The sequence below is a fragment of the Homo sapiens genome, chromosome 10, assembly GCF_000001405.40.
Source record: "Homo sapiens chromosome 10, GRCh38.p14 Primary Assembly".
Classification (NCBI taxonomy): Eukaryota; Metazoa; Chordata; class Mammalia; order Primates; family Hominidae; genus Homo; species Homo sapiens.
The window spans coordinates 67,471,702-67,496,511 of NC_000010.11; the positions used below are offsets into that span (position 1 = coordinate 67,471,702).

At 38.0% G+C, this 24,810-nt stretch overlaps 1 protein-coding gene across 7 annotated transcripts in view, besides 1 other annotated feature; it reads right to left on the minus strand.

Annotated features, from left to right (window-relative positions):
* Positions 1-24,810, minus strand: part of CTNNA3 (catenin alpha 3) — a 1,851,072-nt gene that overhangs the window by 1,559,179 nt on the left and 267,083 nt on the right. The window lies entirely within an intron of this gene.
* Positions 17,826-17,995: an enhancer, noted in NCBI's record as "experimental_15807 CRE fragment used in MPRA reporter constructs". NCBI's record gives its function as "activates a minimal promoter by MPRAs in K562 erythroleukemia cells, with activity observed for both the introgressed and non-introgressed 10:69249370 variant alleles {active_cell/tissue: K562}" and the evidence as "EXISTENCE:reporter gene assay evidence [ECO:0000049][PMID:34662402]".

Genomic DNA, 24,810 nt, shown 5'->3' on the forward strand with positions numbered 1-24,810 from the left:
TTTTTAGACATGCCTGCATCTTGCCAAAGATGAGACCATGTACATTTTGGCCTTAATTATGTATGCTTTTGTCTCTGTGAAAAGGAAGACATTTTAGTCAGTGAAATATTTATTATGTAACTATTAAGGGCCAGAAACTGTTCTAGGGTCTTTCTGCAAAAAGAATGAGAATGTTTGCTCCAAATATAAAAAAATAAACAACTATAAGATACACAGATCAATGATGGAAACCATTGCTCTTTAGTCTCCTACAAACTCTTTGCTAAAGCAAAGTAGCAAAATTGTGTCTTTCTTAAATCAAATCGTACCAAAAATTATAACCTCACAATAAGAATACTTTCCAAAATCATCACAAAACTTGATTCAATGATTATTTAGTTATTTACTAGTTGCTAGGCAATGTGGCAAATGTGTAAGTTTCACTGCATAGATTCACTCATAAAGGAACTCACAAACTTTTGAGAGAAGTTTGATTTACAGCAGCCTACACTCCAGCCATATTAAAGTATTTGTACTTCCTGGACTTTCACCTATATTTCATATCTCTGCACTTCTACACAGAGATATGAATACTAATCACTCTATACATAGAATTACATTTCCCCTCTTATCTGTTCTATCTTAGATAAAAATGCAGCAGGACTAGTTTCCAAGACAACAGGTCACAAGACATCACTGGTAAAACAAGAGACAGTGAAGGAAACTGGCCAAAACCAGCTAGAACCAAAATGGCAATGAAAGCCATCTCCAGTTACCTTCACTGCTCATTATATGCTAATTATAATGCATTAGCATGCTAAAAAACACTCCTTCCAGTGCCATGACAAATGTCATGGCAATGCCCAAAAGTTAACTCTGTATGGTCTGGATAGGGGAGAAAACCACCGTTCTGGGAGCTCCCTGCTCCTTTCCCAGAAAACTCATGCATAATCCACCCCTTAGTAAGCATATGTAATCAAGAAATAACCACAATTATAACCAATGACGAGCCTGGGACTGGGGGGATAGGGTGCTCTGCCTATGGAGTAGCCTTCCTTTTGTTCCTTTGTTCTTCCAATAAACTTGCTTTCATTTCTCTCTGTTGGCTCACTCTTGAATTCTTTCCTGCACAAAGCCAAAGCCAAGGACCAACTTGGCCTTCTGAGTTGAGCCCCAATTCTGCATTTCACCTTGCAACATCTCCACCTTCAAAATGTAAAGCCCTTCATGACCCTTTCCCCAAATGGAGTTGATCACGTTCCCCTTTTACCTTTCTCCATAGCTGTACATGTTTACTGAATTATCACTACGTAAGGCAATCACTTGCTCATATGTTTCTCTCTCCTCCTATACCTAGTTTCATGAATACTTGAATGCTATCTTTAAATGTTGTAACCTTGTAAAACAGTACAACAAATTAATGTTAGATGTATGACAAAATGAATGAACAATATATGAAGTGAAGACTATTATTACATGATGAAATGCTTAACTATTACAATCTGGCTAAGATCATCCTTTTCTTTAATATCCAGATAAAATGTCTCAAGCCCTCATCATACATGCTTTCCAGGATTTTCAAAGATTCCCAGGAGCTTTACACTCTCAGGACACCTCTCATGGAATTCTCACTCACTGTCTTCTATACTTGCCATGCTTTTCATATATGCTCACGCTATATGTCTCCACCACACCTCCTCTACTATTCTCCATACTTGACTAAAAAAAATCCATAACATTTGTACTAAATATTAGCGATAACAGAGAAATACACAACAACACAGAATATGAAACTAATAATATTTCATGTCAGATATCCATGTTCAGCCTATTACTTTATTATGCAGAGCAATTAGCTATCACTTTCCATCCAAGACTAGAGTCTAAGTATACCTTTGCATAACTTAAGAGGCTCATTAAATTACACTGTAAATACAGTGGGCCCTACATATTCACAGATTCCAAATCCACAGACTGAACCAACTGCAGATCAGAAACATTGGAAAAAAATTAAAAATAAAAAATAACAATACAACAATTAAAAATAATGCAAATTTTAAAAATGATATATTATAACAACTATTTACATAGCATTTACATTTTATAGGTATAATAAGTAATCTAGAGATGATTTAAGCTCTATATGGGAGGATGTGTATAGGCTATGTGAAATTAAATAATTCAAATTTAAATCTATTGGAACTTTATATTATTCTGAGCCTTGACAGGAATGTAGCTATGTAGCCCGAGTCACATGGCATATGCAGCTGCAACTTCTGACTTTTTTTCCTGTAAATATTAATAATTAGGAAGGCCACATGACAACAGAGATAAGATTCCCTTAGATCTTTACCCCTCCTCATTGAGTAATAAAGTAAACTTCCTTGGAATATAGCAATCTGTAACCAAACAAATCATTGTAATTGGTCTTATATGGAAAATGCTTTAACTCTGCCAAAACTTCTCTGGCTTTGTCTATATACTTCAGGTATATGCAAATACTATGCCATTTTATATAAAGGACTTGAGCATCCATGATTTTGGTATCCATGGAGGGTCCTGAATACCAGAATGTGACTGTATTTTGAGATAAGGCCTTTAAAAAGGTAATTACATTAAAATGAGGCCATCAGGGTGGACCCTAATCCAATACGACCGCTGTCCTTATAAGAAGAGAAAATTTGAACACACAGAGTCACCAGGAATGTGTGTACACAGAGGAAAAACCATGTGAGGATACAGCTAAAAGGTGACTGTGTGCAAGCTAAGGCTTTGGAAGAAACCAAACTTGTTGACTCCTTTATCTTAGACTCCTAGCCTCCAGAACTGTGAAGATAAAAATTTCTGCTGTTTAAGCCACCCAGTCTGAGTTCTTTTATTATGGCCATCTAGCATACTAATACACCTCCCCTAAAAAAAGGCAAAAGACTTTAACAGATACTTCACTAAAAAAAGATCTATGGAAAGCAAATAAGCACATGAAAAGATTATTAACATAGTCATTAGGGAAGTACAAATTAAAACCACAATGAGATACCACTAAATTCTTGTAAGAGTAGCTAAAATTAAAAACATTTTTTAAAAGTCTTACTACAAAATGCCTGTGAGGATACAGAGCAACTGAAACTCTTATTCATTGCTGCTGGGAATGCAAAAAGGTACAGCCACTCTGAAAAACATTCTGGCAATTTCTTATAAAGTTAATTATATGCTACCATATGACCTAGAAATCCTACTCCTGGATATTTATCCAAGTAAAATGAAAACTTACATTCATGTAAAAATCAGAGCATGATTATTTATGGCAGCTTTTTTCATCATAATCAAAAATTGCAAACAACTCAAATATCCTTCAGCTAATGAATAGAAAAGCAAATTGTGACACAGCCATATATTAAACTATTCAGCCATAAAAATAAATAAACTACTGATACAAACAACTGGATGAATCCTAAACGCATTATGCTAAGTGAAAGAAGCCACACACAAACAGCCACATTATTACATGATTCCATTTATGTAACATTCTGAAAAAAGACAAAACTACAAGGATAGCAGACAAAGCAATCATTGCCAGATATCAGGAAGAGGAGTTAACCACAAGGGACAGAAGTGAATTTTGTGGGTGGTAGAACTGTTCCATATTTTTATTGTGGTGGTAGATACACAACTGTATGCATTTTCAAAACTCATAGACCTGTATAAAACAAACAGTTAATTTTGCTGTATGCAAATTATACCTCAAAAAAATCTGTCATAAAAAAATTCCTACCTATGGCTTCCTCCTTCAAAAAACACAGCATACCTAGGAAGAAGGTAGGGAAGATGATGGGTTTAAAATACCAAATTACCAAAGACTATATCCCTATAGTACTTCAGTGAATATAAATAATTTAAATTAAAAAGCATGGATATATAGAGGTATTTAATTTTTAAGATTCCAGTCAAAAACAACAAAAAACGTTAACTTCCAATATTAGAAATAGTCACTTATCTGAAACTCTTAATTTCAAAGATTTCTGTAATTTTGATTATTCATTATCATGACTTTATATTCATTATCATGAGTTACTGAATGGTGAAAGTTCAATAAATACAGATGAAAGCAATGAATAAAAGCTTCCATTGGATTTTCAAAGATCAGAAGAAGTTTGGATTTAATCTGAATGGAGGTAAGAAATCACTATCGTTTCTTTAGAATGAGGGAACATGACAAAATATTATGTTAGGAAAATTAGTCTAGTAATCATATATGAGATTGAGTTGAAGGAAAATATTAAAGCAAAGATATAGAAGATAGCTGCAGTGATGAAGAGGGCCGGGGCCAGGATGATAGCCAGAGGATTGTAATCATTATATTCAAAATGTGTATCTTTTCCATATTTAACTGAATACCCAGAAATGATGTCACATTTGCTACACAAAGTTCATTTGAAATTGAGGCTCAGGTGGCAACTTGGCCTATAAAATTTAAACCCGCGAGTGCACTTGCTCACCCAGACTGCAGCCTGAGTCGTCCCCACCCACCCTTCCTATGCAGAAACCGTGGTACAGCGCAGAAACCGTGGTACTGCTCCATGCCCAGGCAGATCTCCAGGCACTAAAGCACCTGCTCACCTGGATTGACAGCCTGAGCCATCCCATTAGTCCTGTGCAAAAATCCAGCCATCAGGGGGCACTCTCTGCTGGTTCAGCAGCCAGAGACACCCACTGTTCTTATGCAGAGAGAGTGGTGCAGTGGGTCCCTCTCCACCCCACTCCCAGACAGATCTCCAGGCAGTCGGAGCACCCACTCCTCCAGCCTGAGCTACCCCACCCTTCCTGCACAAAGATCATGGTGCAGCAAGGCCCTTTCCAATCCATACCCAGGCATATCTCCAGGCATTGAAGCACTTGCTTGCCTGGAACAGCAGCCTGAGCTGCCCCACCCTTCCTGCAAAGAGATCGTAGTGCATCTGAGCCTTCTTTGCACCATGCCGATTAAACTTCAGATCTCCAGGTGTTTGGAGAACCCACTCACCCAGATCAACAGCCTGAGCCACCCTACACTTCCTGTGCATAGATCGTGGTATAGTGGGGCCCTATGTACTCCATACCCCTGCATATCTCCAGGCATTCAAAGCACTTGCTCACACAGAGTTACAGCCTGAGCCACCCCACCCTCCTGTGCAGAGTTTCAGGTACAGGGGAGCGCCTCTCCACTCCACCCTCAAGCAGATCTCCAGGCATTCAGAGTACCTGCTCACCTACTCAGCATCCTGAGCCGCCTCAGCCTTGCTGTGCAGAGATTATGATGAAGTAGGGCCCTCTCTGTCCCATGCCCAGCGATACCTCCAGGCAGTCAGAGCACCTGTTAATCTGATTTAACAGCCTGAGCTGCCCAACCCTTCCTGTGCAGAGACTGTGTGGTGCAGCAGGGCCCTTTACACTCCACACCCAGGCAGATCTCAAGGAATCTAGAACACTCACTTTCCTGGACTAAGAGTTTAGGCTGCTCCCTCTCTCCCTGTGCAGACAACTTGGATCCAAGGAGGTTTCCATCTCAACACCTAGGCACACCTCTCGGTGGATGCTCACTACATTCTCCCTCAGTCCAGATGTTTGTACCTGCCATCAGGAAACCTGTAGGTGGGCCTACCCCGTATGGCCCCACCCATCTTGCTCCCACCCCACCCCCGGGGGCAAAGCAGGGAGCTCAGACCACTGTGCACTCCATGAATTAGCCCACTGCCTGAAGCAACAGAGAGCTTCTCCCAGTAAACAATGATCAAATATATACCCAGCTGCACTGACCATAGCCAGCTTGTAGGTCAAACTGCACAGCCCAATATAAAACCTGCATAGCCCAATACAAAACCTGCCAGTAAAGTGCAGCCCTATAGTGCGTAGGGCTATAACAGAAAAGCCAAAAGACTACCCATCATTGTCTACAGTCACACTTCCTAAGAAGCGGGGAAAGGGAAAGGGAGAGAAAACAATATTACAAGGAAAGAAAGCAAAGAAAATATCCTCCCTGCAAGAAAATAATTACAAAAATTAGAAGTACCAGTGACTACAGATGAGAAGGAACCAGCTAAAGAATTCTGGCACCTGAAAAACCTGGATGAAGCAACACCACTAAAAGATCACACTAGCTCTCCAGCAATGATACCTAACCAAAATGGAAACATAGAAGTTACAGATAAAAAATTCAAAGCACGAACTGCAAATAAGCTCAATGAGATGGAAGACAAAGTTGAAAATCAACACAAAGAAACTGCTAAAGCAATGCAGGACATGAGGAAAGAGATAAACATCTTAAAAATAAATCAGTCAGAGCTTCTGGAATTGAAAACTTGCTTAAGAAATTTCAAAATACAGTTGAAAGCTTTATCAATTGCCAAGATCAACATGAAGAAAGAATTTCAGAGCTTGAAGATAGGTCTTTTTGAATTAACTCAATCAGACAAAAATAAGAAAAAACTATTTTTAAAAATGAACAAAGTCATTGAGAATTAGGGAATTATGTAAAGTGACCAAAACCATGAATTATCAAAATTTCTGTGAGAGGAGAAAAAGTAAACAACCTGGAAAGCATATTTGAGAGAATACTTCAAGAATATTTGCCTAATCATGCTAGAGAGCTAGACATCTCTAGCAAGATGTATAGTCCGGTGACTACTCAAGGTCAATGTTATAAAAAAAATCTTAAGGGCAGCTGGGAAAAAACATCAGATCACATAAAGGGGAATCCCATCAGGCTAACAGCAGACTTCTCAGCAGAAAATTTGTAAGCCAGGAGAGATTGGGAGCTCATTTTCAGCATTCTAAAAAGAAATTTCAACCAAGAATTTCATATCCCACTAAATTAATCTTCATAAGTGAAAGAAAAAATAAAATCTTGTCCAGACAAGCAAGCACTAAGGGAATTCATTACCACTAGAGGAGCCTAACAAGAGATCCTTAAGGGAGTCTTAAACATGGAAATGAAAGAACAATAACTGCTACCACAAAAACATACTTAAATAAATAGCTCACAGAACCCATAAAGCAATCACACAATAGAAACTACAAAACAGCCAGGTAACAACTTTGATAGGATCAAAACCTCATATATCAATATTAACCTTGAATGTAAACAGTCTAAACACCCCCACTTAAAAGGCACAAATTGGCAAGTTGAATTAAAAAAAAAAAAACAAGACCTATCGCTCACACACACATAATGACACCCATAGGCTACCAAGTAATGAGTTGGGAAAAGATCTATCATGTAAACAGAAAACAAAAAAACGGCGGGAGTTGGTATTCTTTTATCAGATAAAACCAACTACAGTAAAAGAAGACAAAGAAGGTTATTACACAACGATAAAAGGTTTGATTCAACAAGACTTAAATATCCTAAATATATACAGACTCAACAGTAGAGCACCTAGATTTATAGAACAAGTACTTCTAGACCTACCAAAAGACTTAGCCACATAATAATAGTGAGGGACTTCAACATCGCACTGACAAAATTAGGCAGATCACTGAGGCACCAACTAAGAAATTCTGGACTTGAGATTGACACTTGACCAATTGGATTTAATATACATCTACAGAATATTCCACTCAACAGCCAGAGAATATATAATACATTCTTTTCACCTGTACATGGAACATACTCTGAGATTGACCACATGCTCAGCAATAAATCAAGTCTCAATAAGTTCAAAAAAATGAAAATCATACCAACCATACTCTCAGGGCACAGTGGAATAAAAATAGAAATTAATACCAAGGAGACCTCTCAAAACCACACAAGTATATTAAAATTAAACAACTTGCTTCTAAATGACTTTTGGGTAAACAACAAAATTAAGGCAGAAGTAAAAAAATTATTTAATAAAAACAGAGACACAACATCCAAAATTTTGGGGATGCAGCAAAAGCAATGTTAATTTATAATACTAAATGCCTACATCAGGAATTTAGAGAGATCTTAAATTAACCATCTAACATGACACCTAGAGGAACTGGAAAAACAGGAACAAACTAACCCCAAAGCTAGCTGAATGAAAGAAATAACCAAAATCAAAGCAGAACTAAATGAAATTGAAACCCCAAAATACATACAAAGGATCAGTGAAACCAAAAGTTGGTTTTTTGCAAGGATAGACAAGATCAATAGACCACTAGCTAGATTAACAAAGAAAAAAAGAAAGAAGATCCAAATAAGTGCAATCCAAAATGACAAAGATGACATTACTACCAATCCCACAGAAATACAAAAGATCCTCAGAGACTATTATGAACACCTCAATGCACATAAACTAGAAAATCTAAAGGAAATGGATAAATTTCTGGAAACAACCTACCAAGATTGAATCGGGAAGAGATTGAAACCCTGGACAGACCAATAACAAGTTCCAAAATTGAACCAGTAATACAAAGCCCACCAACCAAAAAAAAAAGCCCTGGACCAGAAGAATTTACAGTCAAAATTCCACCAGATGTACAAAGAAGAGTTTATAGCAATCCTACTGAAACTATTCTAAAAAACTGAGGAGAAGGGATAGGACTCCTTTCTAACTCATGCTACAAAAGTAGCATCAGCCTGACACCAAAACCTGGCAAAGACACAAAAAGATAAGAAAACTACAGGCCAATATCCCTGATGAACACAGATGTAAAAATCCGCAACACAATTGCTAGGAACAGGCCTCAAGCCTGGCCATAAACAGGCCATGAGAAACAAGCCATAAACAAAATCTCTGCAGCCCTGTGACTGCAGAGATTTCTTGCTGCTATGATGGCTTGATGGCTATGATGCCCATGCTGGAAGTTGCCGGTTTACCAGAATGAGGACAAGGAACACCTGGCCCACCCAGGGCAGAAAACTGCTCAAGGCGTTCCTAAACCACAAACAATAGCATGAGCAATCTGTGCCTTAAGAACATGTTCCTGCTGCAGATAACAAGCCAGAGCCTGTCCCTTTGTTTCCTGTAAGGAATGCTTTTAGCTAATCTATAACCTATAGAAACAATGCTTATCACTGGCTTATTGTCAGTAAATAGGTGGGTCAAACTCTGTTTGAGGCTCTCAGCTCTGAAGGCTGTTAGCTCCCTGATTCCCACTTTGTACTCTATTTCTGTGTCTTTGTCTTAATTCCTCTAACGCCGCTGGGTTGGGGTCTCCATGACCAAGCTGGTCTTGGCAACGATACTAGCAAACTGAATCCAGTAGCACATCAAAAAGTTAATTCACCATAATCATGTAAGCTTTATTCTAGGGACGCAACGTTGGTTCAACATACACAAAAAAATAAAACTAGGCCTAGTTTGTTAGGAGTTTTTTATCATGAAGCAGTGTTAGATTTTATTAAAAGGTTTTTCTGTGTCCATCAAGATGATCATATGGTTTTGGTTTTAATTCTTTTTATGTGGTGAATCACATTTTTTTTGTACATGTTGAAGGAAGAGACCTCAAAATAATAAGAACCATCTATGATAAACCCATAGCCAACATCATACTGAATGAGCAAAAGCTGGAAGCACTCCCCTGGAGAGCTGAAACAAGACAAAGATGCCCACTCTCACTACTCATCTTCAGCATAGTACTGGAAGTTCTAGCTGCAACAATGAGGCAAGAGAAAGAAATAAAATGCATCCACATAGGAAAAAAAGAATTCAAATGATCTCTCTTCACTGACAATATGATTCTGTATCTAGAAAACCCTAAAGACTCTATCTAAAGGCTCCTGAAACAGATAAACAACTTCAGTAAAGTGTCAGGATACAAAATCAAAGTACAAAAATCAGTAGCAGTTCTATATACCAATAATGTTCAAGCTGAGAGTCAAATCAAGAATGCAATCACATTTACAACTGCCCCACCCCACCAAAAGAAAAGCAAAAAACATAGGTATACATCTAACCAAGGAGGTGAAAGAAAGATCTCTACAAGGAGAACTACAAAACACTGCTCATTGTAGATTCTGGATATTAGCCCTTTGTCAGATGAGTAGGTTGTGAAAATTTTCTCCCATTTTGTAGGTTGCCTGTTCACTCTGATGGTAGTTTTTTTGCTGTGCAGAAGCTCTTTAGTTTACTTAGATCCCATTTGTCAATTTTGGCTTTTGTTGTCATTGCTTTTGGTGTTTTAGACATGAAGTCCTTGCCCATGCCTATGTCCTGAATGGTAATGCCTAGGTTTTCTTCTAGGGTTTTTATGGTTTTAGGTCTAATGTTTAAGTCTTTAATCCATCGTGAATTGATTTTTGTATAAGGTGTAAGGAAGGGATCCAGTTTCAGCTTTCTCCATATGGCTAGCCAGTTTTCCCAGCACCATTTATTAAATAGGGAATCCTTTCCCCATTGCTTGTTTTTCTCAGGTTTGTCAAAGATCAGATAGTTGTAGATATACGGCTTTATTTCTGAGGGCTCTGTTCTGTTCCATTGATCTATATCTCTGTTTTGGTACCAGTACCATGCTGTTTTGGTTACTGTAGCCTTGTAGTATAGTTTGAAGTCAGGTAGTGTGATGCCTCCAGCTTTGTTCTTTTGGCTTAGGATTGACTTGGCGATGCGGCCTCTTTTTTGGTTCCATATGAACTTTAAAGTAGTTTTTTCCAATTCTGTGAAGAAAGTCATTGGTAGCTTGATGGGGATGGCATTGAATCTATAAATTACCTTGGGCAGTGTGGCCATTTTCACGATATTGATTCTTCCTACCCATGAGCATGGAATGTTCTTCCATTTGTTTGTATCCTCTTTTATTTCATTGAGCAGTGGTTTGTAGTTCTCCTTGAAGAGGTCCTTCACGTCCCTTGTAAGGTGGATTCCTAGGTATTTTATTCTCTTTGAAGCAATTGTGAATGGGAGTTCACTCATGATTTGGCTCTCTGTTTGTCTGTTATTGGTGTATAAGAATGCTTGCGATTTTTGTACATTGATTTTGTATCCTGAGATTTTGCTGAAGTTGCTTATCAGCTTAAGGATATTTTGGGCTGAGACAATGGGGTTTCTACATATACAATCATGTCATCTGCAAACAGGGACAATTTGACTTCCTCTTTTCCTAATTGAATACCCTTTATTTCCTTCTCCTGCCTGATTGCCCTGGCCAGAATTTCCAACACTATATTGAATAGAAGTGGTGAGAGAGGGCATCCCTGTCTTGTGCCAGTTTTCAAAGGGAATGCTTCCAGTTTTTGCCCATTCAGTATGGTATTGGCTGTGGGTTTGTCATAGATAGCTCTTACTATTTTGAGATACGTCCCATCAATAAACAACCCCATCAAAAAGTGGGCGAAGGATATGAACAGACACTTCTCAAAAGAAGACATTTATGTAGCCAAAAAACACACGAAAAAATGCTCACCATCACTGGCCATCAGAGAAATGCAAATCAAAACCACAATGAGATACCATCTCACACCAGTTAGAATGGCAATCATTAAAAGGTCAGGACACAACAGGTGCTGGAGAGGATGTGGAGAAATAGGAACACTTTTACACTGTTGGTGGGACTGTAAACTAGTTCAACCACTGTGGAAGTCAGTGTGGAGATTCCTCAGGGATCTAGAACTAGAAATACCATTTGACCCAGCCATCCCATTACTGGGTATATACCCAAAGGATTATAAATCATGCTGCTATAAAGACACATGCACACATATGTTTATTGCGGCACTCTTCACAATAGCAAAGACTTGGAACCAACCCAAATGTCCAACAATGATAGACTGGATTAAGAAAATGTGGCACATATACACCATGGAATACTATGCAGCCATAAAAAATGATGAGTTCATGTCCTTTGTAGGGACATGGATGAAATTGGAAATCATCATTCTCAGTAAACTATCACAAGGACAAAAAACCAAACACCGCATGTTCTCACTCATAGGTGGGAATTGAACCCATGGACACAGGAAGGGGAACATCACACTCTGGGGACTGTTGTGGGGTGGCGGGAGGGGGGAGGAATAGCATTAGGAGATATACCTAATGCTAAATGACGAGTTAATGGGTGCAGCACACCAGCATGGCACATGTATACATATGTAACTAACCTGCACATTGTGCACATGTACCCTAAAACTTAAAGTATAATAATAAAAAAATAAAAATTAAAAAAAAAAACAAAAAAAAAACAAAACACTGCTCAAAGAAATCAGAGACAACACAAACAAATGGGAAAACATTCCATGCTCATGGATAGGAAGAAATCAATATTATTGAAATGGCCATACTGCCCAAAGCAATCTACAGATTCAACAATATTCCTATCAAACTGCCAATGACATTTTTCACAGGATTAGAAAAAGAGTATTCTAAAGTTCAAATGGAACCAAAAAAAGAATTTGAATAGGCAAAACAATCCTAAGCAAATAGAATAAAGCCAGAGGCATCACATTACCCAACTTCAAACTATACTCTAAGGCTACAGTAACCAAAAGGGCATGGTATTTGTACAAAAACAGTCACATAGACCAATGTAACAGAATAGAGAGCCCAGAATCAAAGCTACACACCTACATCCATTTGACAAAGTTTACAAAAACAAGCAATGGGGAAAGGACTCCCTATTCAATAAATAGTGCTGGGACAGCTGACTAGTCATATGCAGAAGAATGAAACCAGACACTTATCTTTAACCACATATAAAAATTAACTCAAAATGGATTAAATATTTAAATGTAAGACCTCAAACTATAGGATTTCCTAGGAAACACCATTCTGGACATTGACTTTGGGAAATAATTTATCACTAAATCCTCAAAACCATTTACCAAAAAAAAAGTGAGAAGTGGGATCTAATTAAACAGAAGAGCTTCTGCAAAGGAAATTATCAACAGAGCAGACAGACAATCTACAGAATGGGAGAAAATATTCACAAGCTAGGCATCTGACAAAGGTCTAATAGCTAGAATTTATAAGAAACTTAAACAATTAGATAAGCAAAAACCAAATAACCCCATTAAAAAGTGAGCAAAGGACATGAACAGACACTTCTCAAAAGAAGACATACAGGTGGCCAACAAACATATGAAACAATGCTCCACATCACTATTCATCAGATAATGCAAAATAAAACCACAATGGGACACCACCTCACAGAATGGCTATTATGAAAAATGAATGGCTATTATGAAAAAGTCAAAAAAACAACAGATGCTGGCAAGGCTATGGAGAAAAAGGGGATGCTTATATATTGTTGGTAGGAATGTAAATTAGTTCAACCCCTGTGGAAAGGAGTTTGGAGATTTCTGAAAGAACTTAAAACAGGACTATCATCTGGCCCAGCAATCCCACTACTGAGTATATAACCAAAAGAAAATAAATCATTCTACCAAAAAGACACATGCACTCATATGTTCATCACAGCACCATTCACAATAGCAAAGACATGGAATCAACATAGATGCCCATCAGTGGTGGACTGGATAAAGAAGACACAGTACATATAGACCATGGAATACTATGCAGCCATAAAAAAGATTGAAGTTGTGTCCTCTGCAGCAACATGGATGCAGCTGGAGGCCATTATCTTATGCAAGTTAACACAGAAACAGAAAACCAAATACCACACGTTCTCATTTATAAGTGGGAGCTAAACATTGGATACTCATGGGCATAAGGATAGCAACAAGCTTTCTTGGGGACTAGTAGAGGTGGGGACATTGGGAACTACTAGAGGTTAGAGGAAGAAGAGGAGTAATAGCTGAAAAACTACCTATTGTGTACTATGCCCACTACCTGGGTCACAGGATGAATCTTAGCCCAAACCTTAGCAGCTTGCAATATAACCATGTACATGTACAAACCTGCACATGTACCCCTTGATTCTAAAATTAAAATTAAAACAGAAAGAAAGATAAAAACCTCCCTAGTGACTATGCTGACCCATTTAAGGTCACAGCAAGAGCAGCAGTACCCAAGTTAGGTGGTGATAACACAGTGGAAGTTAGACCCAGTGATGATAGAAATTAAACCCAATTTTACTTTCTCATCCTTGGCTTTTTGTTTTCTACTAGTAACAAGTGTTAATCTCCCCTTTGAACAGGAGTATGTGGCTTCACTGCAGCACTTTCAGTCAGAGACAGAGGCTAACGGCATACCTAGCCAAAGCACAAGAAACCTAAAAGGCCTCAGCTTTGGTCTGATTCCACTCAGAAAAGCTTTCCTTCAAATAAGTCAACTAGACGTCTCTTCCTTTTAAAGCCAACAGTGATCATCTGATAGGAAACACTTCTTTGTTGGTTTTCTTTTGTTTCAGTGAAATTCATATTTTCCCTACAGGGATATAAATAATGCCGTATCTTCTGCTATTTAAAAATTCCTAATTAGAAGCCTTTTATGTTATAAAGCTGCTAAAAAGCAACCCAAACCTAAGGGAATTTTAAAAGATAAGTTATTGGTGACATAGATGTTACAACTTAAGCTATGAAGTCAAAAGTGTTGATTGATGAGGCACAGAAGGAGTCTTGTTCACACTCATTCACCTGTTTCATTTTTGAGACTGTCCATGCCCTGGGAACAAGAATCTACTTTAGCCAGAAATACATAGGCGTGCTGGATGAAGTTGAAGTTTGCCTCCAGAATTAAGGTCTTTTTGTATATGTCACCTCATATCTGATAAACAGACCACTTATCTGGATTCTGATCTTCACCATCTTCTTTTACTATATGGGTTCATGACCCTCCACCCTTCACCTAGTACTCAATTCCAATAGATCTTCTAGTTCTTGATAGTCTAGATATTTAACCACTACTTTTGCTTCACTGTGTCTTCCTAATTCCTGTATTTTTGCTTCATTTCTTACCTGTGACTTTCACATCTAGTATTTGTATCTACATTCAATTTCTGCTTCCCTACCATACTTTGGTAGGTCCCCAAGTTTAACCTCTATGTGCCTCAGTTTTCTCATTCATAGAATGAGAAAAACAGTAAGATTATTGTAAAAGTATTTCAAGGATTACAGGAAATAATAAGTAAAGTGATTAGCATAACCTGAGATAGAGAAAGTGCCAAATAACTGCTAGCTGCACTCAAGCATATTTATGCCTGAATAAGAGCTTTGTCCTCTGATTTTGTTCTACATTTGTGGAAATAGATAATAGCCATTTGCTACCTTAAGAGAAATTCCTTTGTTTTATATATGAAGAATTATTCTCTTCTTACCTTTCTCTTCTAAGGGTTAAGTAAATTCATTTTCTTTCTAATGAATCATGTTTTCTCACACTTTAGTCATTTTACTACTTTCTTCCAAGGTCTCCAATCTTATTTTAGTTGTAGAAAAAAATACAAATCTCCAGTAATATTGATACCAATCCAAAAAGTATTTAACTAAACCTATCATCCCAAATGATTACCTGGCACCCCCAGCCATGATGAGGCCCCATCAGTGTCCCAGGCAATGCTCCCCATTCTGCCCAATGCTTCAGAGGAACCAAGATGCTACTGACTGCACTAAGCACCAAAGAGCCACTCCAGCACTTGGATCCAGGAAGAAATAGCAACACCAAAAAAGCCTGCGAAAGTGTCAGTTTTCTGTGCATAGTTCAGTTAACAGCTAGATAACACCAATCATCCAAGGCATAACTGTTATAGGTTTTGACAGTAAGACATCCCCCTTGGCAAAAAATGTCTCCTCCACTGGCTGCCAAGGCTCCTGATCATCCTAGGATCACCTCCTGTGTGTTGATTAAGCTTTTGCTGGCTGAGACGCAGCTGGCCTTTACAGCAGGAAACCCACGGAAGAGTGTGTACGTGTGTGTCCTCTCTCAACTTCTGGCTGAGTCACTCAAATCAAATAGTCACTGAAACATAAAGGGGGTTCCCTACACCTAATTTTGGTGGTAGGGGAAAAAATGTAAAATCATCTGGGGCAATCAAGGACTATTTTCAGGAACATTTGTCTTTAAAATCTAAAATTAAGCCACCTCACAACCTGGGTGGTTCCCCATGGAGGAAAAGAGGATGAGCTCTGAAAAGCTAGAGTTGTAACCTGTATCCTTGGGAACACGGCTATAGGCAGTGTGAAGAGCTGTACATATAACTGATAAAGGGTCCAGCAGGTTGTCCCATTCCTGCAGGAAGAGCAGAGCCCCAAATCCCATTTCAACCTGCTTTAGCACTCACACACCTCACCAAGACAGTGGTGACTGCCAGCTTCTCTCTTGACCTTCCTCACCCCTAGGTACCACAGGATGTCTAATGGGAAGGCACAAGAGCATAAAACTTGTTGCTCTCAGAGTTCTATGGATGAGGAAACTCTGAAATATGAGGACAGATGTGAGAGAATCTCTAGAAACCTTAAGCTTAGGACAGAAGGAGGAGAGCATCCCGCTCACACTGTCTAACAATTTAATAGGGATTCATGCATCTAAGTATGTTTGTGAGGGAGGTAGATGTTAAGAAATCATACATACAGAACCTCGTTGAGTTTCGAAATTGGAGGTTCTTGGGCAACAAGGGACAGCATGGGGTAACAGACTGTTTGGGGAGGAGAGGAAGGGAAAGACAGGAAATGAAAAATTAAGCACCTGGCTAGAACAGTACAGGGATACAAGGATGGTATTTGGGAAATATACCAAAATAATTAACTTTTGAAAGCAAGAAATGAAGACATTGAAAGGAAATAAATGGCTCTCCAAGAACCAGAAAGACAAGTATGAAATGGGCAAGACTCTATGGGTCAGAGATCCCTTGCATCAGCTGATTTCTTTCTTCTTTTTGAGACGGAGTTTTGCTCTTGTTGCCCAGGCTGGAGTGTAGTGGCGCAATCTTGGCTCACTGCAACCTCGGCCTCCCAGGTTCAAGTGATTTTCCTGCCTCAGCCCCCTGAGTAGCTGGAATTACAGGCACATGCCACCAAGCTCAGCTAATTTTTTGTATTTTTAGTAGAGATGGGGTTTCATCATGTTGGCCAGGCTGTTCTCAAACTCCTGACCTCAGGTAATCCACCCACCTCGGCCTCCCAAAGTGCAGGGATTACAGGTGTGAGCCAAAGTGCCCGGCCTCTTTTTTTTTTTTTTTTGAGACAAAGTCCCTTCTGTCACCTAGGCTGGAGTGCAATGGCACGATCTCAGCTCACTGCAACCTCCGGCTCCCAGGCTCAAGCAATTCTCCTGTCTCAGCCTCCTGAGTAGCTGGGACTACAGGCGCATGCCACCGTGTCCAGCTAATTTTTGTATTTTTAGTAGAGACAGGGTTTTGCCATGTTACCCAGGCTGGTCATCGCATCTGGCTAATTCTTGTATTTTTAGTAGAGATGTGGTTTCGCCATGTTGCCCAGGCTGGTCTCGAACTCCTGAGCTCAGGTGATTCGCCAGCCTCAGCCTCCCAAAGTACTGGGATTATAGGCATGAGCCACCACGCCCAGATGGATCAGCTGATTTTTTTATAGTACTTGATTATTTTTCCCTAACATGTATCAGTACAGCTAGTATCACATAGGTAAAAAACCAAACTAAATTCCTTTTTATAGAACAATTATTTCTATATCCCTGTTAATGTATCTTTTACAGATTTCCCTGGGAGTCTTTTCTTTATGTACCTAAGATTTAAATTTCACTTGCAGTAGTAAATTATTTAAACTCAATTCAAAATGAAATGTGTTTTCATTTAATTATCGGAAATGCATTTCATAATGCCAAGTGCTGGTTAAAAGTAAGTAATTTCCCCCATTCCTCACCCAAGCCACCTCTGCACCACCACCCACAAAAACAAATTAGTCTTTTTGGTTGAGAAAAATGAATCATTACTTCTCAACCTAAGTTGCAACTTGTCATTTTTCATTTGAGCATGTATTCACTAGAAGCAGGTGCTCTTTGCTCTTTTGACAGTAACCAAACATTTAAGCGTGGAAAGAGACCAAGAAAAGCACCTTGGCCCACCTTCTCAGGGGCTTAGATAAGTATCTGGAAAAAAATCAATATCATGGAAATGAAGTGCCAAATTGTTTTAAAACTGCTTAGCTCTCACTATTGCTCCTAGGACTGAATGCAACAAAACCAATTAGCAGGCATTCACTGAGGCAGGAAATAGAGTGGAAAGAAAGGGTAGAAATGGAGAAAATGAGGAAATAAAAATATATTAAATTTATATATACTTAAGTATATTTATAATACATGATTTTATATATATATATATATACACACATTAGGTGTGTGTATATACATATATTCATTCATTCATTTAAATTTTGGACATGTTGAGCTTGAAAAGCCCATTAAGTAACTAGATAAAGTTGCTTTGGGTTCCACATTTAAGTGAGATCATGTAATATTTGTCTTTTTGTATCTAGGTCATTTCATTCCTCTTGAAAAGAAAACTCATCACAGGTATCTTTAACACAAAGCACCAATCTTAATGTAATTTTATTCTCATGTATTTTCCCACTGGTCATAAATTTTGAAGGCCCTAATTTGCTTTCCATTGCCCATGTTCTAATCTGAATTCATCCAAGAGTGAAACTGATGCGAAATCTCATCTTCTATTTCTCTTAATGTTAAGCACTTTGTTTCTTAAATTGATGCTGTAGACAATTTATGTAGCCAAACAGAAATGTCACAACAATTTTGGGAAACATCTCAAGTTATTTGTTTCAAAGAAAGAAAATAAATTATTTTACCAAGAGATAAGTGAAAACATTGTTTTTCAATCCCTTTAAACATTTATGATCGAATTCTGGATAGCCAAGGTGATGGCAGCTGCTTAAGTCTGAATCTCCCAGCACATACTCCAAAAATAAAAATAAAAAATAAATAAAACTACAGAAAACCTATGCTGTCAGCATAACTAGAAAAGAGAGAACAACCTAGATTTCAAATTACACGTGAATAAAAAATTAACACCAACTCTTAGCATGGAATTTCTCACCCTTCTGGTGCAAGCCTACCTGGGGAACAAGGGCAAGATGGGGCCAGAGTGGAGGGATGGTGGGAGATGGGGGAGAACCATACTGAAAACAGAAGAGAGAACCTAGCAATGAAATTTAAAATTGATCTAAAATCACAGCTATAAAGAGAAATTCTACTCTCATTGCAAAAATAATGGAAAAAGAGTCCTGGTAGATCAGAGCCTACTAGAAGGAGGAATGAGTATGTGGGGCTCTAAGAGGTGGTCTTAGAAAGGCCTTGGGAGAGAGAAGGGTAACAAAGGAATGGAGAAGCACTCTGGAAACTACACAGTGAACATAAGAAGAAATAAGAAAGGGAAAATCAGAATCCAGTAAGACAAAAGAATTTTTCTTAATTGAAGAAAGCTACTGAGGAAATAAACTATCTTTTACAACCTTAACAGAAGAGTTCTAACCAGGGATCTTGTAAACCATCCCAAACCATCACAGAATTGCTGAGGCTTAAGCAACCTACAAGTATTCTAAAAAGAAAAAAAAACTAATATGACAGGAAAACAGAAATAAAAATTTTAAAAACTCAGTTGAAAATATCCCCTCAAAAAAACCAATAGTGAATCAAAATAAAATAGTAGCATAATATCCCAAAGTGAATCAAACAGCCTCAAAAGATTATGAAGACTTTCACCAAAATTACAGACAGATATAGATAGAAATAAGAATATAGATATACACAAAACTGTGCAACCATAGTTCATTTGGCAACCATTTATTAAAACATTAAAAATCAACTTTGTCCCTGGCACTGTCCTAGTTGTTGGGGAATAGAGAGGAAACATTCTCTATGACTTCAAGGAGCTTATTACAGTAGAAGGAGAAACACATACAGTATGACAAGTGATGGGATAAAAGTATACAGGAAATCCTTTCGAAACACCATAAAGTAGTATCTACCTCCAAATTAGGAGCCATCACATATGCAACTGAAGTACAAGTAAGAGCCAGATCAGAAAATTCCAGGAGGAAAATAATCATGCAGCTGTAACAGTATATGCAAAGGCATGAAGTCAGAAGAAATGTGATGTATTCAAAGAACGGAAAATACTCTGATATGGCTGAAAACAAAGCTCTGGGAAAATAAAGGGTCACAGTTGCTTTATACAATTTAGATTTCATTCTAAAGGCAACAGAGAACCAGAACCATTGAAGGATTTTTACTTGAGGATATGTTCAGATTTTCATTTTAAAATAATCCTTCCAGTAATAATATTTAGGCTGAATTAGAAAGGGGTGAATTTGAATGCAAGATAACCAGTTAGCAGGCATTCACCAACAAGGAATATAAGTGGAAAAAAAGTATAGGAATGGAGGAAAGAAAAGATAATATATTAAATGTATATAAAAATGTATTTACAATATATGATATATAATACGTTTAAATTTTGGACATCTTGAGCTTGAACACCTCATTAAGTAACTGGATAAAATCTTGAATTGAAGAGAAATATATGGGGTAGAAATAAAGATATGGGAATCATCCAATTGTTAGATTAAAGGCAGTTATTGACTCCGTGGGTGTATATGATTTTACTCTATAGAGTATACAGAGGGTGTAGGGGAAAGAAAGAAAAATGAGAAGGAGAGAAAAGGAAGAGCAAGTTATGTTCTGGGCAATATCAACATTTACTCTGACAGGAACTGGGAAGAGTCCAGACATGTAGGAGAAAAATTGGGAGAAAAAAAAAGAAAATTAAGATTTACAGGAAAAAAGAACAGTTGAAGTTAAAAGGTCTGAAAAATGTCAGTTGGATAAGTGATCATAATAACAGTGTTTGTGCAAGTGAAAGGCAGAAATAGATTACTGAGAAGTGAAAAGTCAAGTTAATAAAAAATAGTATATACAAACCTCTCCTTAGAAATGTTTGACTTCTGACTCACTTGTATACTTAACCTTTCATATCATTCATTTCTCCAACAAGTGTTTATTGAGTGCCACTTAATATCAAGAGAGACAATGTGCTTATGTCCCAATGGAGAAGCCAGGCAATAAACAACTTAAAGATCAAATGTGCAAGATAATTTCCTACAGTGATAACTGCTATGAAGAGGCGAAAGTCTACATTAGATTAATCAGAGAAATCCACTGTAAGGAAGTGATACTTAAGCTGAACCCTGAATGATAAGAAGGAATTGTCCTGTGAGCTCTAGGGGAAAATCATTCCACGAAGAGGGAACAGCAAGTACTAAGGACAGATTAGCAAGCACATAATTAAAACATCCACAGTAATAACTATACTGATACTTACATCCACCCAACAACTGCTAATAAAACCATGCCTTCACTGAGTCTGCTGGCAGGGCTGTTGAGCTGGTCACAAGGAGGCAAATAAGCTGGCTCATATTGAAATAAGAGAGGAAGGAATCATAGAAAAAGAAAAGACCATGGAAACCTCCCCTCCTCTACAATTAACAATTTTAAACTGTTGGGAGTATTTCATGTTCATTGAATGAACAAAAATGTTAATAATAGATTGCCCTAAATCTTGAATTTTAGCTGCATTTTGAAGATCCTTGAAGCAATAAAAATGCCTGTGCTTTTTAAAGGTAGTTTTGTTTTGTTTTTTTAAAAGGCGGGGGTTGCCTTTCAGGCCAGATTTCTTTGATTTCCTGTTTCAGAAGCTTCACCTAGCTCAACGTGGGGGAAAAAAAAAAAAAAGCTCGCAAAAGGAATATTTGTACAGCATAGCTTTTATGTTAAGAGTTTGATTTTAGGCCGGACACGGCGGCTCACCCCTGTAATCCCAGCACTTGGGAGGCCGAGGCGGGTGGATCATGAGGTCAGGGAATCGAGACCATCCTGGCTAACATGGTGAAACCCCGTCTCTACTAAAAAATACAAAAAATTAGCTGGGCGTGGTGGCACGCACCTGTAGTCCCAGCTACTCGGGAGGCTGAGGCAGGGGAATGGCGTGAACCCGGGAGGCGGAGCTTGCAGTGAGCAGAGATCGCACCACTGCACTCCAGGCTGGGTGACAGAGCGAGACTCTGTCTCAAAAAAAAAAAAAAAAGTTTGATTTTATATGCTTAACATGTATTTTTTAAGGTATATATTAACATTTCTTTTTAATTATTTTCATGATTAACTGGAATTTTTGTGGCATCTGATACTTAATGGAAATAGAACACCAGTTAACAAAACTAGCTCCAGGAAACATTCGACTCCCTCGCTTCTGTCCAAAAATGGATGTAGTTAGTAAGCAGGTCAGCGCACCTAAAATCTTTCAGAAACTTAGCATGAGGAAAAGAAGAAAGACAGGACTGTCGCTGGATGGGGTATTGCTTTGAAAGAAGGTTACCATTGCTGCTGCTGTTGTTGCCAGCATCGTCATGTCGTTTGGATCAAACTTTAACAGGTTAATATGCTGAAAAGGAAAAATGAGTAGAAAAAAATGAAAAGTTGACAGTAAAGGCAAAATACAACTTCCTATAAAGGAAGGTCCTCAGGGGACAGAAGAAAATGGGATTCAGAATACAGGATTATTCTGGGCACAAGAGAAAACTAAGTTTAAGGATAGCATACTTTTTGTGACTCTGGGATCTCAAAATAGATGCTGAAACCCAGCTATCCAAACCAGATGAAATGCTTCATACAATCACTATGGATTCCACTGAAGAAGAAAACTGAGGGTTTTTTTAATTGCTTTATAATTTGAAAGTTGCTGATAATTAGAGCTATTTAACTCAGCACAACATTCTTCTAAATGGCATCATTGTGTCACTGTACTATTTTGGTTAAACTCCCACTGGTTTAATTTCAGAAACATCCTTTGAATAAAATGCCAAGTTAAAAAGAAGTAATATCTCATTATTTCTTTAAAATAATTCAATTAATTTCAAAAGGATGTTTCCTGGGAAAGACTTGTAAGGTTTCTTTTGTAGGCCTGACCATAACACAAGAGTACATTATAGAAAATAGCAGCAGCTACCTACCAGTCAGTTTTTAAGAGCACCTTTCTTTACACAATAAATATGTTCCTGAGGAGCTTTTTAAATTTTGAATGTGTATTGTGGAGGCTATTTGGACCTGCAAAAACCTGATGCTGCCATTTACTATTTGTGTGTTCTAGAACAAGCTACTAAATAGGTTACCCTCTCGAAATTTTCTAGGGATTAAATATTTTCCATTCTATTTGGCCTAATTGGGCTGCCTCAGAAAGACAGACTAACCCATCAAGAATTAAGAATTACTTCTTGAACTGAGAATTACTTCTTCTATGAAATGTAATATTAACACCTGTTGTGGGGCACCCACCTGTTGTCAAACTTCAAAGATGGATAAAGCACAGGATAGTTTGATTCCTTCACTGGCTCAGGGCACCAAAGAGTTGTGTTGCCAGATTTAGCAAATAAAACATTCCCAGTTAAATTTCACTTTCAAAAAGAATAAATATTTTTATTAGCATAAGTGTGCCCCATGCAATATTTGAGACATAATTCTACTAGAAAATTATTCATCATTGATATGAAATTCAAATTTAACTGGGCATTCTGTATTATTTTATCTGGCAACCCTAACCAAAGCAACAGCTTGTCTCCCACCTGGCTATGGCAGAAGTGGAATACAAAAGTCAAAGTACATGATAAAGTGCTGTACCCACACACACCGCCATCTAAACCTCTGTATACTTCCAAAATTACAATGTTTCCTGACTGAGGCCTGCTTCCCCTGCTCTCCTCCATGTGATCAAGCTCCCTGACACCCTCTCTCCACTGACTTCTACCCACACTCTGGACCTAAGACAAAATTTCTGATGCCCCTACACACTATCCCAGAACTAAAAAGACTCCAAGGTTACAACATGGCAGAAACATTCTCTCCGTTTCCCTAAGACTCCTAGAAGCATTTTTTAGAGTCATAGGTCCATACAGGGCCTGAGATTCACTGGCCATCTCAGATCTCCCAAATTTCATTGCAGTAAATTCTATCATGTCTCCTACCCTGGAGGAATGGGCGGGTAGTGGCAGACAGTAGTGGTAGACCAGCACAAAAACAAACCATGTCTAAGTTTATTCTATTCCTATCCAACTCTCCTCTTCTCCCCAAGTTGGAGGGTATTTGCTCAGGAGGCACAGAAGAGGTGACATGGAAGAGGCAGTATAACAACTTGGTTATGCCTATTGTCTCTCATTCCAAAATATCAAGAATTTGCCATTTTTTATTACTTAGGCCTGATTTGAAACTTACATCCTGTGTGAGTGGCCCAATAGGGGAGAAAATTGATATTCCCATTATATGGGAATTATAAGGGGAAAATAATATTCCCATTATATGATTATTGTAAGAATTAAGTAAATCAAAGACCTAACCTGTATAGTAGGCACTTCCACAGCTTCAGAGATGGAAAATCTGTATTACTAAATAATGTCCAGTAGGCACTATCTCCTAACATTCCAACCTCTCTGTCAATAATTCATAAATGAATATTCACATGCTCTAAAAGTTCCTGTTATTATGTGAATAATCATCACATATTTTCTGTGAAAGTGAAATGCTGTGTAGTATATTTCTTATATCGAGCACCCTAGTAGAAAGTATTTACATAATGCGGGAAGAGTCTACCTTCTTTCCATAAATTGACTTTCTTTATAATTGTATTATTTTTTACAACCCTTCTAAAACAAAATGATATCCATGCATAAAGAACACAGCTTTCATCTTGCGGTGTGACAGACTCCTATGTGCCTTTTTATTTTTAATAGACTGGCCTCACACACTGGTGGGGGTTGTATTCATGAATATATGGCTTATGTTTACGGTTAGGAGAAAGATAGGTTTAAAAATAATAATAAAGGACTTTCTGCCTTTACTGAAGCCACGTTCCCAGCCTTTCATAATTTACTACACTATCTCATTATTTTTTAATGCACTTGCCTTTTTAAAAAAAATCCAAACCTTCCAAATTGTTGCATGATAATTTTTCTTCCTTTTCAACAGGAGGTTC